General features: G+C 52.0%; 1 protein-coding gene and 1 pseudogene across 2 annotated transcripts; one reads left to right on the forward strand and one right to left on the reverse strand.

Moving 5' to 3' along the window:
• Nucleotides 1–827: 827 nt before the first annotated feature.
• GOLGA6L22 (golgin A6 family like 22) lies at nt 828–11,151 on the forward strand. Of its 2 annotated transcripts, none has more exons than NM_001396956.1 (9): nt 828–1,098; nt 2,745–2,873; nt 3,959–4,009; nt 4,098–4,191; nt 4,287–4,393; nt 5,766–5,824; nt 6,155–6,296; nt 6,948–8,750; nt 9,407–11,151. In NM_001396956.1, exons 1-8 carry the CDS (start codon nt 919–921, stop codon nt 8,748–8,750), a joined length of 2,565 nt encoding a protein of 854 aa, NP_001383885.1. In that variant the 5' UTR covers nt 828–918; the 3' UTR covers nt 9,407–11,151. The 2 variants fall into 2 exon arrangements, with proteins under 2 accessions (NP_001383885.1, NP_001383886.1); NM_001396957.1 differs by having other exon boundaries at nt 6,951–8,750.
• Nucleotides 11,152–13,302: 2,151 nt separating this feature from the next.
• Nucleotides 13,303–17,212, reverse strand: LOC112268161 (pectinesterase inhibitor 10-like; annotated as a pseudogene).
• Between the last annotated feature and the right edge of the window lie 1,687 nt (nt 17,213–18,899).

The raw sequence follows: 18,899 nt of genomic DNA on the forward strand, positions 1-18,899 counted from the left end.
TGCTTTAACCTTGTAAAGAACTTTGAGTGCTTATTAAATGGAAAGCCTTGTGTGTGTGTGTGTGTGTGTGTGTGCGTGTGTGTGTGTGTCTGTGCGTGTGTGTGTGTGTGTGTGTGTATTTAGAGACAGAGTCACATTCTGTAGCAGCCCAGGCTGAAGTGCAGTGGCATGATTTTGGCTCACTGCAACCTCTGCCTCACAGGTTCAAGGGATTCTCCTGCCTCAGCCTCCCAAGTAGCTAGGATTACAGGCACCTGCCACCATGCCCAGCTACTTTTGTATTTTTAGTAGAGACAGGATTTCATCATGTTGGCCAGGCTGGTCTTGAACTCCTGAATTCGGGTGATCCACCCGCCCCAGCCTCCCAAAGTGCTGGGATTACAGGCATGAGCCATCACGCCTGGCTCAAAGCTTTGTATTTTTAAAGATATTAGACATGTTTCTTGTTTGTTTGTTTTTTTTAAAAAAACTAAACGCTAATGTAGGAGAATAAGAGAAAGTTTTTCCAAAAAAGAGAAAACATTGTGATTATCTTATTGGAATGTTGGATAATAAAGTCTGCTTTATCAATCATCAAGCACACTATAAAATTTCCATTTTAATAGGACTTGTACCTCAATTGAGGTAATAAAGTTTTAAAGTTTTTAAAGTGAAAGCCAGCCCCGCCCCTCTCCTGGAGTGGGCGGGGACAGCGGTTGCATAGGCAGCTTTCCTTGTGACAACACAGGTCCTTGATGACACGCTGCTGTCTGGCCACACCTCCTTTTCCTTTCATCTTTCTCATTGACCAATGGGCTTCAAGCATGAAGGCCACACCCCTATTCTGCATTCTAGTGCAGCCCTGGTTACGCCTCCTCTGGCTCAGTCACACAGCGACGTAGAGGTGACTGGAGGTATATACTTGTCCTCACCTGGATCATGCTGATGTGGCCCCAACCCCACCTCCCTACCCATCCCCACCTCCCTACCCATCCCCACCTCCCTACCCATCCCCACCTCCCTACCCATCCCCACCTCCCTACCCATCCCCACCTCCCTACCCATCCTATGATGTCCAAAGAAACCAGACAGAGCAAATTGGCCGAGGCCAAGGAACAGGTAAACGCACCAACACCCCAACCCAACCCGAGGCCCCCTCTGACAGCCGAACTGCTGCCAGAGTCTGTGCCACTCCTGAGGGACACCAGGCTGGGCCCCCCACCCCAGTGCCTCTGGGCTCCCCACACCAAAATCTTGTCAGCCAGCCCAACCCCCTCATAAGTCCTGCCCCTGCTCTGCCCGGCACACCAGGGTGACTTTGAGCAGGTGACTCCTGGGGCTTCCAACTCCATACTCCGCCCTTACCTCCTGCTACCCCAAACCCGACCTCCCTGGGCTCCTTGAGCTCACATCTCCAAGGACCTGGGTGCCCCAGAACCTGCCCTCACCAGTTGCCACAGGGTGACTTTGGGGATGTGACTCCTGGAGCTCCTTGCTCCTTAATTGGCCCTCACCTCCTGCCGCCCCAAGCCTGACCTCCCGGGGCTCTTTGGGGTCACGTCTCCAAGGACCTGGCTCCCAATTTTGTGACCCCCTCCCCAGTCTCAAAGCGGCAACTTGGGCATTGCACTCATGTGTCCCCCCCAACAACTCCACCGAGGAGTAGAATGTAGTGATGTCACAGTCCCGCTACAAACTGTCATTACTACCACAAGACCGGCCTTTGGTCTTAGGACCCAGTCCCCTAAGTGTTCTTGCCCACTTCTGTTTCCTCTGGTTGCAGCACAGGTTTCCAGCTGGAAGGGGAATGGGGACTGTGGGACCTAGAAGAGAGAGGTTTCAGGCTGCCTGACTTCCTTACCACAGACCTTGACAGTGTGAAAAGCCTACACCTCCCCCATGAGCTCAACACGTTGACAGTGTCTCTGGGTGGCAATGGGAGAATGGGTTTGGTTTGGTTTTCTCCCAGGCTTCTACTCTCCAGAGAGACTTTAACATTTTTTCTCAGTTCTGCACCTCAGATTTGAATTCTCCATTGTTCTGGGACCAGAGTGCCCCTCAGTCACTGGTTCTGGAGTGAGATCTGCTTATCTTCTGTGGAACAGATCTTGGGAAACTGAACTTAGCTTGAGTCTTCCTCATCTCATCTCAACCTGGGGTACTTTGAGTGCCACAGGATAAATATGGGGCATCTTTCTGAAGCATCAGTTTCCCTTGATTCTATTGAGAGGCAAAACATTAATGTACTTAGGGATGAAAGTCACATAGATTTATAAGCGTATACAAGACTTCTCTCTGAAATGAGGCTTGGGTTGTCCTCTTTCTGTTAAATTCCCAGATTTAGCAGAAAGGCTGCCTTCTGCCATGAGGAGACATTGATGTAAAGGTTTGAGAGGTACTGGTGTACTTTTTAACACTAACAGACGTGTGAGGGTGAATAACCCTAAACCACATAGTGCACAGTTCCTGCCTACTTAATATTTGCTTTTCTACCTCTGCCTCTGGTTTTGGTCCCTGGCAGCTGCTGATTTAGGGCAAAATCCCAGAGCTCAGAGTCAGAAGACTAAGTTTAAGTTCCATTACTGCCTTTTTTTTCAGCCATGGTATCAATCTCTCTCAGTCACTAAGTGATTGTGACAACATTTCCTACAGTTGGTGGCATTAAATCAGATGGTCTATAAGAGTATTTAGTATAAACTGTAAAGCAGGATGTGACTGTAGGAGCTTGTAGTTCTCATGAGTATCACTGCTCTTCCTTTCCACAGTTGACAGACCATCATCCCCAGACCAACCCTAGTGTTGGTACAGCAGCAAGCGACACCAAAAAGAAGAAAATAAATAATGGCACTAGCCCTGAGACAACCACTTCTGGTGGTTGCCACTCGCCTGAGGATGTGAGTCTTGGCTGGCCGGGCTCCTGGGGACAGAGGGCCCAAGGGGTGGTGGAGGGTAATTGTTAAGATTGTGGAAGAACTGCCAGGTACTGGCTAAGAATTCTGGGTTTGAATCCTACCCCTCCATCTGCTAGGGACATGATTTAGCGCAAATTGCTTGAGCTCTTTGGGCCTCTCTTTTCACATCCGTAAAATACGAGTGATATTGTTTTCCTTACGTTTGTGAAGTTTAAATGAGATTTGTCATTGTGTTTTTATGTTAATCCCTCGTCCAGGACCTGCTGTAAACTCTCCTTCTTGGGCTTGCGTTTCCTGAGGTAGAGTTAGAGAGTATCAGAGGTTTCTGTTAGCTCTGAGAGCCCGAGAGTTAAAGGCCCACTAGAATGGAAACCTCGGGGCCAAGGGCTCCTGTCTGCCTTTTCTGACCTCTATTCCCGCTGTGAAGAACCGTCCCTGGCCCGTATGTGCTCAACGTTTGCTGAGTGAATGCACCTTTCTAAATCACAAGCTGGCGGAAGGGTGGGCTTTTCTCGCACTCCACCTCTGAAGGTTTCTGTTACTGTCTTTTCAAGAGAATCTAGTTTCAGACTTTGAGTTCTGTGGCTGTGGGCAAAAACCAAAAAGACCCAAATCCTTCTTCTTTGGGAGTTGAGGAGAGTTGACCAGTTCATGTTCCCATTGGGTCTGAGAACTGTGCCTTTTAAATCCATTCCTGGCCCCTGCCTATCGCTTCCTGGCCTGGGGAATAGAGTCAAGGGGGCCACCCTCAGTCACCTTCCTTTGACTCTCCCCACAGAAACAATAGAACCGAGCTCAGCTGGAAGAAGTAGTGTGATTTCTTTGCTCACGACATGACCGCTGGGTTTGGGGGCACTCAGATGTAGAGGCCCCAGGCTCATTTCACCCACTCCCAGCCTGGGGAAGAAGGCTCACCCCCAAGATTCCACCCCATCCCCACAGGGTCCCTGATAAACTGGTCCCATGGGTGGGCCTGTTCTGGGACAGTGGTGCCATTCTGGGGGCATGTCTCTTGCTGTGGATCTCTGCCTACCCCTAGTAAGAGCTCTGTTTTCCTCTTTCTATAGGAACAGAAGGCAAGCCACCAACATCAGGAAGCCCTAAGGAGGGAGCTAGAGGTGAGTGGAGGGTGTGAAGTTCCCTCCTGCCCTCTGGAGAATGTTTCTTTGCTTCTCTTTCAGCATTTGCTTGTCTTTTCTCCCAAAGGCCCAGGTTCATACCATACGAATCCTTACATGTCAGAAAACTGAGCTTCAGATGGCACTCTACTACAGCCAGCATGCTGTCAAGCAGTTGGAAGGTGGGAATCTGGCACCCCATCATCCTTCAACCTGGCACTTTGACAGGCCTTTAGGGGGAGTCCTTTGGGCCACATCTGAATGTCTCTCATTCCAGGAGAGGCCAGGGATCTGATCAGCCGCCTGCATGATTCATGGAAGTTTGCAGGAGAGTTAGAGCAGGCTCTCTCTGCTGTCACTACACAGAAGAAGAAGGCGGATAGGGTGAGTCCAAACACGGCCCCGTCCCTTGGGAGCCCAGCTTCGCAGATGGAGGAGTGAGCCTAAAGGTCCCTTCTGTAGGATGGAGTGTCCTGCCCAGAAGGCAGCATGGCCATTTCTTGCTGCTTTTGTGTGTGGTTGTTAGAGGCAGACTGGGGCTGAGTCGGCTGTTGTGGGTGAGTTGGGGAGCACTGTGAGGAGCGAGCACTGGACATAGATCTCAGAGGCCAAGTGCCCGCCCTGCCCATACTTGGCTGTGGCCTTGGCCAAGTCCTAAGTGGCGGTTAGGGTACTTGTACCATAAAGGTACAGAAGAGTATCTTGAGTATGTTATTATTTGTGTGGAGAGAGGGGGCAGGTGTATATGTGTGTGTGTGTACGTATTATGGTAACATACATAAAACACGTTTGTAAGGATTCATTAAAAAACTCAGGATAGAGGCACAGTGTTGGGGGGAGATATTTCCCTTCTGGACTTTCTGAGTTTTGGACTATGCGAACGTATCATCCTTTCAAAAATTCAACAAAGGATTAATTTCCTCCTTCTTAACTGTGCCCCTACCTCCAGCGAAAGAATGGGCTTAGAGAATCAGATATACCTGGGTGTTGAAATCCCAGCTCCAAGTGATCTTAGGCAGCACTTAACCTTTAATACCACATGTTTTTCATCTACACAATAGAGGTAATAATGGTAACCGTCTCCTATGGAGGTTGTGAGGATTAAATGGGATTGTTAGCATAGTGCCTGGTGAAGCACTCAAGAAAGGTTCGAACAGTGGTAGTACTAACAGTAATAGCAATAACAATATTATCTGATCGCTCTGGGCCCCTGTTAGCCAGCTCTAAATTCAATCTCTTTCCCTGTCCCTTCCACATCCACTGAGTTCTTTGAAAAACAAATGAGGGCCAGGTGCTCTCGCTCACGCCTGTAATGCCAGCACTTTGGGAGGCTGAGGTGGGCGGATCACCTGCGGTCAGGAGTTCAAGACTAGACTGACCAACACGAAGAAACCCCGTCTCTACTAAAAATACAAAATTAGCCCGGTGTGGTGGCACATGCCTGTAATCCCAACTACTCGGGAAGCTGAGGCAGGAGAATTGCTTGAACCCAGGAGGTGTAGGTTGTGGTGAGCTGAGATTGTGCCATTGCACTCCAGTGAGGGCAACAAGAATGAAACTCTGCCAAAAAAAAAAAGAAAGAAAGAAAGAAAGAAAAACAAATGAGACCATGGGCTTGGAAATGCCTTGAGAACACGTCAGGTGTGATTGAGAGTGAGGAAGTGTTACTGTGGAGTAGTCACTGTAGCAGTTGTTCCTGGTCGTCCAGCTACTGCTGTGCCTGCTCTATCCTGACTTAACCTTTCTCTATTTGCAGTACATTGAGGAGTTAACAAAGGAGAGGGACGCCCTGAGTCTGGAACTGTACAGGAACACGTAGGATGGGGGAAGGTGGAATGGGAGGTCTGGGGGCCCTTAGCATGGGTGGTGTGCTGGGAGGTGGGGGGTCCAGGTGAGTGTGCGGAGAGGCTCATACATGTTTTCATGTGTGCACACGGAAGCTCTAGTGCTGGCTGTGCCACTGACTCATGGGGTAGCCTCAGGCAACTCATGTCTTCTCTCTGGCCTGCCACCTGGGACTTTTAATTCCTGGGGTCCCTTCCAGCGCCACGGTTCTGTGGTTGTGGGGCGAGGGTAGGGGGTCAATCACCAAAGTGGTCTTTTATGTTCTTCATTCATTCCTTTCTCTACTGCCTCTGGCCATAGCATAACTGATGAGGAGCTGAAGGAGAAAAATGCCAAACTACAAGAAAAACTTCAACTTGTAGAATCTGAAAAGTCTGAGATCCAGCTCAACGTAAAGGAGCTAAAAAGGAAACTGGAGAGGGCCAAGCTCCTGCTGCCACAGGTGAGCAGCTGCAGCCCCGGGGGTTGTGGGAGACCCATCCAGCTGGGACCATGGTCTAGGGATCATGCAGGGTATGGGGAGGCTCCAGCCAAGAGCTGGAAAATTTGGGTCCTTGTTCTGGTCCCGCCATAGAATCCTCTAGAGTGTGCTAAAAATGTACAAATTGGGGCCCTGCCTGGGGAATCAGAATCTCAAGAGTTAGGGCTTAAAAATATTTTTTTAAAGGATCATGGATGAAAACCATTATTTTATAGATTACATTTATTTATTTATTTATTTATTTATTTATTTATTTGAGAAGTAGTCTCACTCTGTCACCCAGGCCAGAGTGCAGTGGCGCAATCTCGGCTCACTGCAAGCTCCAACCCCGGCTTCACGCCATTCTCCTGCCTCAGCCTCCCAAGTAGCTGGGACTACAGGTGCCCACCACCACACCCAGCTAATTTTTTGTATTTTTAGTAGAGACGGGGTTTCACTGTGTTAACCAGGATGGTCTCGATCTCCTGACCTCGTGATCCGCCCACCTCGGCCTCCCAAAGTGCTGGGATTACAGGCGTGAGCCACCGCGCCCAGCCTATAGATTACATTTATGTGGCTAGCTCATGATTCTGCTTCCTTCTGAGGTTCAAAAAAACACTTTCACTATTCCAGCAGCAGCTGCAGGCGGAGGCTGACCACCTGGGTAAGGAGCTGCAGAGTGTGTCAGCAAAGCTCCAAGCCCAGGTGGAAGAGAACGAGTTGTGGAACCGCCTGAACCAGCAACAGGAGGAGAAGATGTGGAGGCAGGAGGAGAAGATACAGGAGTGGGAGGAGAAGATACAGGAGCAGGAGGAGAAGATACGGGAGCAGGAGGAGAAGATACGGGAGCAGGAGGAGAAGATGCGGAGGCAGGAGGAGATGATGTGGGAGAAGGAGGAGAAGATGCGGAGGCAGGAGGAGATGATGTGGGAGAAGGAGGAGAAGATACGGGAGCTGGAAGAGAAGATGCACGAGCAGGAGAAGATACGGGAGCAGGAAGAGAAGAGGCAGGAGGAGGAGAAGATACGCGAGCAGGAGAAGAGGCAGGAGCAGGAGGCGAAGATGTGGAGGCAGGAGGAGAAGATACGGGAGCAGGAAGAGAAGATACGGGAGCAGGAGAAAAAGATGTGGAGGCAGGAGGAGAAGATTCACGAGCAGGAGAAGATACGGGAGGAGGAGAAGAGGCAGGAGCAGGAGGAGATGTGGAGGCAGGAGGAGAAGATAAGGGAGCAGGAGGAGATATGGAGGCAAAAGGAGAAGATGCACGAGCAGGAGGAGAAGATACGGAAGCAGGAGGAGAAGGTGTGGAGGCAGGAGGAGAAGATGCACGACCAGGAGGAGAAGATACGGGAGCAGGAGGAGAAGGTGTGGAGGCAGGAGGAGAAGATACGGGAGCAGGAGAAGAAACGGGAGCAGGAGGAGAAGATGTGGAGGCAGGAGGAGAAGATACGGGAGCAGGAGGAGAAGATACGGGAGCAGGAGGAGATGTGGAGGGAGGAAGAGAAGATGCATGAGCAGGAGAAGATATGGGAGGAGGAGAAGAGGCAGGAGCAGGAGGATAAGATGTGGAGGCAGGAGGAGAAGATACGGGAGCAGGAGGAGAAGGTGTGGAGGCAGGAGGAGAAGATACGGGAGCAGGAGGAAAAGAGGCAGGAGCAGGAGGAGAAGATGTGGAAGCAGGAGGAGAAGATAAGGGAGCAGGAGGAGAAGATACGGGAGCAGGAGGAGAAGATACGGGAGCAGGAGGAGAAGATACGAGAGCAGGAGGAGATGATGCAGGAACAGGAAGAGAAGATGGGGGAGCAGGAAGAGAAGATGCAAGAACAGGAGAAGATGCGGAGGCAGGAGGAGAAGATAAGGGAGCAGGAGGAGAAGATACGGGAGCAGAAGGAGAAGATACGAGAGCAGGAGGAGAAGATATGGGAGCAGGAGGAGAAGATACGAGAGCAGGAGGAGATGATGCAGGAACAGGAAGAGAAGATGGGGGAGCAGGAGGAGAAGATTTGGGAGCAGGAAGAGAAGATGCAAGAACAGGAGGAGAAGATGCGGAGGCAGGAGGAGAAGATAAGGGAGCAGGAGAAGAAGATACGGGAGCAGGAGGAGAAGATACGAGAGCAGGAGGAGATGATGCAGGAACAGGAAGAGAAGATGGGGGAGCAGGAAGAGAAGATGCAAGAACAGGAGGAGAAGATGCGGAGGCAGGAGGAGAAGATAAGGGAGCAGGAGAAGAAGATACGGGAGCAGGAGGAGAAGATACGAGAGCAGGAGGAGATGATGCAGGAACAGGAAGAGAAGATGTGGGAGCAGGAGGAGAAGATGTGTGAGCAGGAAGAGAAGATGCAAGAACAGGAGGAGAAGATGCGGAGGCAGGAGGAGAAGATGTGGGAGCAGGAAGTGAGGCTGCGGCAGCAGGAGGAGAAGATGCAGGAACACTAGGTGAGGCTGCAGGAGCTGGAGGAGAGGCTGGGGAAGCTGGGGCAGAAGGCCGAGCTCTTGGGGGGAGCAGGCGGAGGTGTGTGCAAACCCTGGAGATCATACAGAACGACCTCACCACAACTTAGCAGATGGTGGTTGGCTCCCTCTGCTTTTCCACCAGTCTGTGGCCTACAGTTTAAATGGTGGGAAGAAGGGTGTGAGATTTGAGGCTGGGGAGGGAGGCATGGGCCTCTAGGCAAGGGAGGCAGTCATTTAGGCCTGGAGGAAGGGGCCAGGGCCAGGGGCCTGGGTAGGCGACAGAGCCCCGCAGTGCCCTCACTACCCTGTTTATGGGCCCAGAATCTGGAAGCCAGCCACTACCTACCCTGACGCCTATCCTGCAGGTGGAGCTGAAGAGCCAAGAGGCTGAGTCTGCAGCAGCAGCGAGACCATTACCTGGGTCACCTGCAGCAGTACGTGGCCGCCTATCAGCAGCTGGCCTCTGAGAAGGAGGCACTGCCCAGCTGCAGCAGCAGGAAGCTCAGGGCGAAGCGGTGGCCGAGATGGCCCACCAATAGTTGCAGGAGACCCGGTTGAGGGAGTTGATGAGGGCGGGGCCCCAAGGGGGATGATCTGGCAACCTCCGTGCCTTCTCACTCTCTTTCCTGGCCCCTTAGGAGCACCTGGAAGCTGCCATCTAATGAGCACATGACAAGAAGGCAAAGACAATAAACATGTAAAAGCCGGCAGCAAGGCCTGGAGAAGAGTAAGCCGCCATGTGACTGTTTAGAATATAGTCTGAGCACAAACCTGAAAAAAAAATTTTATTTATTTTAAATTGTGGCAAAATACTGGCCAGGCATGGTAGCTCACGCCTGTAATCCTAGCAATTTGGGAGGCCGAGGTAAATGGATGACCTGAGGTCAAGAGTTCAAGACCAGCCTGGCCAATACAAAAATTAGCCGGGCATGGTGGCGCATGCCTGTAATCCCAGCTACTTGGGAGGCTGAGGCAGGAGAATCGCTTGAACCTGGGAGGCAGAGGTTGCAGTGAGCTGAGATCGTGCCACTGCACTCAAGCCTGGGTGACAGAGCGAAACTCCGTCTCAAAAAAAAAAGTTTCTTCCTTACATGTATGTTTCTATTAGTTTTCTTCTTGGTCTTTCTCATTTAGTCTTGTGTTGTCTTTTGACATTCATAGTAAACTTTTATCTGCCTCCAGAGAGTATTGACTTTGAGTTTATGGCACACAATTGGAGTAAGGGCAGATCGCCTTCATCTACTTTGGGACTAAGCTGGTTCAAAGCAGGTTTTAGGTTTTCTGATGGCTGGTCTATGTTTTATTCATCTGGACTCCCAGGGGTGGCCCTTCCAGGGTCCCCACCAAGGTCCCATCTCCTTCCTGGGACCCAAATTCTCATTAGGTCATTTCAGCCCTGTGAGAGTGCCAAACATTCAGCTAGGCTCTCCAGCCTCTTAACTACCACTTCATACTCAGTTTCTTAGCCTCTTAGCCCTCTACTGTTGACCAATCACCAAATGTGGGAAAGCACTACAGACTGTCAGGATCACCTCCTAGGCCTGGTCACTCAAGTCCTGACTGAGGTCTCCAATTACCTTCCAACAATTGTTTTTGATTGGGGGCGGGGCACATTTTTATCCAGTTTTTCTAACTGCTCTTGTGGGGAGGCGAATCTGTAACAAGCTCCTCTGCCTTTATTGAAAGTTGAAAACCTTCATCTGTCCTTTTTTTGTTGTTGTTGAGATGGAGTCTTGCGCTGTTGCCCAGGCTCTAGTGCAATGGCACGATCTCTGCTCACTGTAACCTCTGCCTCCTGGGTTCAAGCAATTCTCCTGCCTCAGCTTCCCGAGTAGCGTGTGCCACCATGCCTGGCTAATTTTTTTTTATACCTTTAATAGAGGCAGGATTTCACCATGTTTTCCAGGCTGGTCTCGAGCTCCTGACTCAGGTGATCTACCTGCCTCAGCCTCCCAAAGTGCTGGGATTACAAGTATGAGCCACTGCATCCGGCCCATCTGTCTTTTAAAACATGTTTTTAATTGGAGGTATAATTTCTATTAGTGAAATGCACAGGTCTGGTTTACATTTTGATGAGTTTTAACTCATTTAACATTACTATGGAACCCACCTCCTTTGAAGATACAGAGTATTTCTATCATCCAGAAAGTTCTCCTGTGCTTTCATGCTGTCCCGCACTCCCCCAGCCAGCTGATGAACATGCTGAGGACATTGGTACTGGATTCTGGCCGCCCCAAAAGAGCCACTTTGACCAGGCTTACCCAGCACTAAATCCCTGCCTGCTCTCTCAAAATTTCCATCTTTAAACTGGTTGTACCTATAACCCTCCCTCATCAAGTCAATAGATAAACAAACCCTGAAAAATAAACAACTCTTCCTGGCCCAGCAGCCCACAGCCTAATATTTACTGTATTCCCAGGCTTTCAGAAATGTAACTCGCCTGCCGGTTCACCCTCACTAGGGCGGCAGCTGCACGGGAGCAGCTGGGCTCACCCATTAAGCAAGAAGCCAATAGCTGGACAGTGACACTCAGACCCCAGCCTGGGCGAGCCTGGCTGAAAGCCCCCTTCTTTCCATCCGACTGCGGAGAAAGGGGGCGGAGCACACACAACTCTACTGCCCTCCACATCCTTCACCTGTGCTTCCTCCTGGGAGAGGGAGCCGCTCATTAATTTGGCCAAAGTCTTCTTGAGGGCTGTAGGTTTCACAGGCTGGGTGTGTGGGGGCCACCGTGCTAGAGACAGAGGCTGGTGTGTCAGAAGGCAGCCACCTGGCCAGAGGGGGGTCAACCCCCTTGGTGACCTCCTTCCCCCGGCTGGACACAGTGCCCTGCACTCTCTACATGTGACTGTTCCCCTCAGAGCTGCTTCCAGGGGAGGGGTTCTAATCCTGTGGGTGGGGACATTGTGTTACTTTACAGTGGGCCATGGCTCCCTCTGACATCTCCAACTCAGAGGCAGTAGAGAGAAGATGAGAAATTCCCTGCCCCTCCTCCCTCAGCACCCCCACCTCTGCACACGTCCACATGTGGAGACCCTGACAATGGGCCCTGGGAGTGCCGCCATCTGTGCCTGCTTTCCATGCCTGCAGCAGCCATGCCCACTCTCCAGACCCTCACCCGCCTGGGTCAGTAGACGCTTCACTGCCTGTGGTCCTGCGCCTACACCTGGGCCTCTGTACCCGTCAGTTCCCCCAGTCTGGTTCTTATTCCCTGCAAAGAGTAGGGAGCCTGTAAGGTCACCTGTTGAGCAAGCTGGGGGAGAAAAGTAGGGTGGGGCTGGGAGGATCAGGATGAGAAGCTCATGGTCGTGCTGGAGACTCAGCTGAGTCTCCTAGCCAGTGGTGATCTCGCTCCCACCCTCATTTCTTCTTTGTTAACAAAACCATGGCCTCATTAAATACTGGACACCTATAAACCTCATGGACCCTCCTCCAGCCTCCCCACCGTGTACCGGTGAGTCTAAGTCAACTCTAGTCATTTCATTCCTCTGGACATTGACTGCTTAGGGCTTGGGCATGAGCTGCCTCTTCACCTGAGCCTGAGCCACAGGTACCCTCTGCACCTACCACGCTGATGCACTGGGCCAGGGAGAGCGCCGTCTGGATGGAGATGAGCTGTGAGGAGCTGGTGGCTGGGCGGATCAGGTTGTTGTAACAGGTTTTGTTCAGAAGGTCGTCCATCAGTTTCTGCTCGGCATGGGCCATGCGGCAGTCCCCTGGGTAAACACACAGACATGCTGGGCCCTTGTGCAGCTGTCTCCCACTGCAGATGACAGCTATGAAGCAGGAGCTGAGAGGGCCAGGGAGCACAGACACCCTGAGAGCTGGCTGAAGCAGTGAAGGTGCTGGCCGGCCTGGCTTTCCCTGGGGACTTCAAATGACATTCACGACAGAGCTCAGCTACCTCCTCCCCATGCCATACCTCTTCCTCCTCCTCCTCCCTCCGTCAATGAACAGCATCCCACGCTCTACACATCTGATACAAAACTGGGTGTCTCTTCCTGACTCCTCCCTTGGTTCACCCAAGTGGCCACCAAGTCCTGTCTGTCCTCCCATCTCCACGGCTACAGCCATGTCCCTGCCTCCCCCGCCCTGCCCACCTTCTGTTCTCTCCACCTGCACTCTGCCCCTGCCATCCATGTGCCATACAGTGGCAGACTGATCTTTCTACAGCAAACTGGACGAGGGCCCTTCCCTACCCACAGCTCTCAGAGCTGGAGGTGGAGTTGAAGCTCATGTTTTGGCTTGGCATTCAGAGCTCTTTCCCCCTCAGCACTGGCTTATCCAGAGTGCTCACAGTGCAGGGCAGGAGCCTCGTGACTCAAATGTGGGTTTGGTGCAGAACTGGGTCTGAGGTGGTGCTTTCCCTATGAAGAGACAGGGCCGACATGGGGGAATTTTCTGGGTTCAAAGTTAGACCTAGAGAGTGCAAAGTTTCTCTGAGGCACCAAATGGAGGGGTCCAGCTAGCAGCTGGCTCCTGGTCTGGAGCTTCAAGGAGAGGTCTCAGCTCAGAGCCACATTCAATAGCCAGCTTACATGTGGCCTCCTGCAGGGAGCCCCTGGAGCTTCCACAGCCTCCGTTCTGCCCCTCTGCATACCCCAGATCTCCTGCTAAGTGGCGTTTGGGTCTTCATGTCATCTCCCTCCCATGTCTGGGAGTAAAGGTGAGGTGCAGAGACTTGCGCTTGTGTACTCTGGTGTCTTAAGGGAGAGTGTGTCAAGTAGAGTGGAGGCGGCTTGGAAAGAGGGAGACTCAGAGGAGAGTGAAGGACACATGACCAGGCGAGCCTGGGAGCAGGAAAAGAGAGTGAGCAGAGGCAACTGCTGGGTCAGGGGAGCGGATGGGAGGATCAGGGAATGCGGGGGGGCTGGAGAGGTAGGGGTGGGGACGTTGGCGAGGGGCTGCCTGGCTCGCCAGGCTCAGGAGTCAGTTACATCCTCCCACAAGGGCCAGCTCACCTGGTCGCCCCAAAGACCTCCCTCTGTGGGTGGGACCAGAGGGCCAAGAGCACGGATAACCCAATTGAGCAGGACTGAGGCGGACTCAGGTGGGTGCTGGGCCGGACTCCTGGCTGTGGGGAGCAGCCGCCACCCTGCCTATTGCATCCACTTTCCAACTCGCTGCCTATCTGAGCAGATGCGATATTGGGCACCTTGTGAAACATGCTCCTGGTGCACCTGCTGCCTGCTGCCCCTCCTGCAGAGTGCCCGGGCTCTCCAGAGGGGATTCCTATGGAGGCTTGGCCTAGATTCTGAGTCCTGCCTCTCATACCTGGGGCTGCTACCCCAGAGGCCAGCTGCTTGAGTACCCCGGAAGCCAGTCTGTAGCCCCAGGCTACAGCTGGGTCCATCCCACAGCCCTTCTCTAACGTACCTATTTGGACTGGCTGCTCATTTCATAGAGAGGGGTGTGTCTTGCCCCAGACCATCTGGCATGTCTAAGGCAGCTGTGGGGTCAGAATCTGCAGCTCCCAGCCCTCAGCCCAGCAATAGTAGGAAAGGCTGGACCCCACATCTCTGAAGTCCCACTGGGTTGGTGCGAGCGGGCTCCCGAGTACAGGGCTGCTCTGCAGGCTGTGGGGCTCATGCGCCAGCTCTGAGCCCACCTGATGTGCTCACGTTGCTCACCTTTGGGCCTGTCCGGCCTCTCAGGCATTCGGCTGACCCTGAGGGCCTCTCCCTCATCTTGACCACCAGCTACGGGCTCTGATTTAGAGGTTCCCAGAACCTTAGACCATTTGGCCGGCCCCCCATTTCTCACCTGAGGAAACTGAGACCAGAGAGGGATAGCAACTTTCTCAAGGACCCCCAGCAATTCAGAGGCAGAACCAGGTCTAGGAGCCTCTTCTCGATAGAGGTTCCCCCTGTCCCCTGAGCCTTCGTTAGTGCCTCATTAACTTCCCTGTAAGGAAACTGCCCCGCTGAGGCTGGAAATGGTGCTGTCCAGAGTGGTGTGTGCCAGTGACTGTGCTTGTGTTTGTACTTGTGAGTGTGTATGGGGGTGGGGATGAGGGGTGGGAATAAACGGCAGGGATGCTGGGGGCTGGATGCACTCCACCTCACCCCAAAAAGGGGCGCAGGAGAGCCCAGCCAAGCACAGCACATGCTTCGACTTTCCAATCTGCTGAATGCCTGTGAGGCCGGCTGGGCCCAGAAGACAAGGGACAGGCCTTTCCCCATAGATGGCAGGGGGGGCCCAGGATGGGTGGAAGCTTCTGCCGCAGCTTTGGGGGTCACAACCCAGCCCATGGGCTGACACTTAAGCAGAAAAGCCACCTCTAGGGGTCAGTCATAATCTAGTGATTCTGATGAGGAGGGCCCCACCAACCTCTGTCCAGGGTCTTGTCTGGGAAAAACTGCTCCCTGGCAGAAAGAGGCTAATAATTTGAGAGGAAGCCATAGCTGAAACCCTAAGCTGTGTGAGTGCGTGTCCAGTTTGAGAAAGCATATCCGACTTAAACATTTGTATTGAAAAAATGGAAACATATTCCCCTTGTTTTGGAATACAAACTGCAGAAAGCAGCAGTTAACAGAATCTTATCGGAAAGGTCAGATTCTGCATCTGGAAAGGCACAGTGATTTTCAACTGCGGTGTGTGTCCTTAACTGAGGAAGGGAAGGTGAGATTTATGTTTAGTAAAAGGCAGCTATGAATTTACCTTTTATAAAGAACTTGCTATATACTATTAGTGCTTTTCAGTCATGTCAGAATCAGCCAGATGCCTGTGGAAATGCAAATTCCCAGGCTTCATTCCCAGAGATTCTGGTCCTGTGAGCCTAGGGTGGGGCCCAGAAATCTCTATGGGGTGGTGCAGCCTGCCCCAGGACCACACCAAGAAACACTGCAACTGGCCCACACACATCCCAGTCCACAAATATGTAGGCAGGCATCTTATCTCCACAGAACAGATAGGGAAACTGAGGTCAGAGTGGGGAAAGAAACGTCATGGGGCCACCCAGCAAGTAGTAGCAGAGCCACGATACACCCACTGCCTGCAGACACCATCTCTGATGACAGCTCCACCTCCCCACAGGAATCTTGCCTACCCCCACCCCTACCTCCTGCTGCCCCTATGGTGGGTCTCTGTCCAAGGAAGATGTATCCTAGGTCCTCTAGGCTGACTGCGGCTCAGAGGAAACCTTGGCCCAGAGTGTAGGAGCTAGAGGGGTCCTTGGAATTCACGTGGGGAATTTGAGGCCCAAAGAAGGCAGTCCTCACATTTGAACTCTGTCTGGAGAAGGGCTAGGTCTTCTTCCTGAGTGGTAGTTTTGACTTCACCAGCCTGGCCCTCAGTCAAGCTGGCTGTCCAGGCCCGCCACACCTCGGGGTGGGTGACCAGAGGCGGTGGTGCCATAAAAACACGTTTCCTGGGAGATCCACCCCCAAAGCTCCAAACATTCCAGGGCTGGTGATTTGGGCAAGCCCCCTTCCCTCTCAGCCCAGTTTCCCCATCTCTGCAACAGCCGTGCTGGTGGAGACTTCTGATACTGAGCTGCAGATTTTCTCCTGGGTGCCTACACAGCCCAGGTTGCCGGCTCCTCTGTGCCCACTCTTCAAGAAAGTCAGCTCTTAGGTAAGGAAGGTGCCTTGGCCCTATCAGGAGCAGGAGCCGGTGCACCCCCAGCTTCCCAGACCAGTGGGGATGACCCAGGCTGCCTACAAAGCTGCTGCCCAGCCCGGAGACACCCGCCTGGGAGGGTGGCCCTGGCCCTTGCAGCGGCTCTGAGAAGAGTCGGCCCCCACTCCAAAACTGGCAGAGCCACCCATGCCTTCCCTCAGCCCAAAGAGGCTTTTAGGAACATGAATCGTCTCAAGTTCAAACCCATGGGGTTGCTGAAAGACAAGACAGTGCAGGGTGAGCTGGTGCGAGGGAGCGCTGCTCGGTGCAGACTTTGCAGGGAGGGCACTTAGGAAAAAGGACTGGAGTCTGGGAGGGTTAACTAGCTTAGGGTTAAAGGGAGGGGATGGAGCTGGAGTGAGCTGGCCTCGTCCTCCCCCTTGGGCCTTCCAGCCTGGGCTCAGGTGATTCAAGGGAGCAAGCACCTCCCTCTCCCAGCCAGGGAGTTCTCGCCACATTCTGCAATCAGTACCATTCCCCTGGGGGCTGGGTGACAGCCCCCACCTCTGGACCTGGCTGGAACTGCTGTCTCAATTCTAGATCCAAAAGAATCTCTGGCAGCTTCTCCATCTCCCTCTCAGTCCAGCCTCACCTCTTCGCCCGTGGAGGAGCTCCAACAGCAAATCTGGCAACTGGAGGAACAAGGCAGGAAGGGCAGGGTCTGAGGAAGGAACCACCTTCAAAAGGCAGCTCTGCCACCTTCTCTCCAGGACTCTCAGGCTTGCTTTCCTATTGCTCCCTCGACATCCTTTTGCTATAATCTGCCATGTTGACGTATAGTCTTTAAAAGCAACAATGCTGTTGACGTGGAGCAGACTTCCCATTTGGGATGGTTTGGAGAAGTTAGGTTTGAGGGCATCCTCTCTTCTGCAAACTGCAGCAGTAATAGATGAGATATACAAAGTAAATAAAGGCTGGGTGCGGTGGTCGTGCCTGTAATCCCAGCACTCTGGGAGGCTGAGGCAGGAGGATCACTTGAAGCCAGGAGTTCGAGACCAGCCTGGCCAATATGGCGACACCCTGTCTCTACTAAAAATGTAAAAATTAGCTGGGCATAGTGGTGCACACCTGTAGTCCCAGCTACTCAGGAGGCTGAGGCAGGAGAATCACTTGAACCCGGGAGGCAGAGGCTGCAGTGAAATGAGATCCCGCCACTGCATTCCAGCCTGGGCGACAGAGTGAGACTCCATCTCAAAAAATAAAAATAAAAAATAAAGTAAATAAAAAAGACATGCCCAGGCTGAAAAATAAGTTAATTATCTCCATGAACGAAAAGCAGACAAGAAATGCAAAGTGGTTGGAGGCTGAAGAGCCTGGACCCTCCTGGGCTTTGGGAACCAAAGATGGTGGCAAGTCCTTTGGGATAAAGAGGGACAAAATGACTCCTAGCTAGAAGCTGGGAGCTTGGGTGTACCCCAGTACTTGAAAGGATGCTAGCTGGGCGCGGTGGCTAATGCCTGTAATACCAGCACTTTGGGAGGCCGAGGGAAAGTAACTCTTATGTCAGTGTGAAGCAAATCAGACAGGACAGGGGAACATGGAGGGGAGGAGAGCCAAACCAGGGCCTGGTTCCAGACCCACCACACACGCCCCGTTGAGCCAGGAGCACAGGTGGCTCTCTGCACAACATCAAGAGTGAGGACATGCTTTCAGCTCCACTTTAACTCAGGTTCCTAATGTGACAGCAGGCTTGTCAATCCCACTTGCCCCCGTGGCTCACACCAGAAAACTACCAGCAGTGTGAGTAAGGACAGAAGCAGGAGACAGAGGAGCCAGGGTTGGGGAATCCCATAGCAACCCACAGGCCCTCATCACACACGGCAAGGATGCGCCTTCACTGGGCTCACCACCACCACTAGACATCACCTTCACTACATGATACCCTGCCTGGATAACACCACTGTAACACAAGAAACAGGTCTAGAATCTAACATGTATGCTACACCTGAAGGAGCAAGAGACGGTAATACAATACAATGAAATTTTTAGTTTATTTAATATAAAATTTAGAGCCATAATCAAAATGTGTAATTCTGATGGGATTCACTACTTATAAAAACTTCGCAGCACTCTATTTTCAAATGTAAATGGTATTCTGTGGCTCCTCGCCAGCATGTAAATAACGATCTACTCTGAAATACGTTTCACGGCTTATTTTTGGCAAGCAGCGATTTCTCCAACCCACGTTTTCCAAGGGAAAAAAGGACATGAAATGTCTCCAAAAGTCTCTTACGATCTTTAGATAAACTACTGTTCAACAACTGCATCTGCCAAGTCAACACATCAAGAATCCTTCACTCACAAACACTTAAGGTGAGAAAACAGTGTCTACCCATGCAGGAGAGGGAAACATGATCCATGCTTATGAAGACAGCCTGGATATCGGCTACTGGAAAGCTGCGAATGCATTTTTCTTTTTCTACTTTCCAAAAGTTTTGTGAGGTGATACTTATTTCTATGTTTGTGTCTATTCTTTTTATTTTGTATTTTTTAGTAGGTACATCCTTACTA

The sequence above is a fragment of the Homo sapiens genome, chromosome 15 (genome assembly GCF_000001405.40).
Source record: "Homo sapiens chromosome 15, GRCh38.p14 Primary Assembly".
NCBI classification, from domain to species: domain Eukaryota; kingdom Metazoa; phylum Chordata; class Mammalia; order Primates; family Hominidae; genus Homo; species Homo sapiens.

Excerpts from the sequence above, each read along its gene's own strand:
- GOLGA6L22 (NM_001396956.1), top strand. The coding sequence starts at position 919 with ATGCTGATGTGGCCCCAACCCCACCTCCCTACCCATCCCCACCTCCCT. Across the intron at positions 1,099-2,744 it reads TGGCCGAGGCCAAGGAACAG|TTGACAGACCATCATCCCCA; the intron begins GTAAACGCACCA and ends TCCTTTCCACAG. Across the intron at positions 4,010-4,097 it reads CCCTAAGGAGGGAGCTAGAG|GCCCAGGTTCATACCATACG; the intron begins GTGAGTGGAGGG and ends TTTCTCCCAAAG.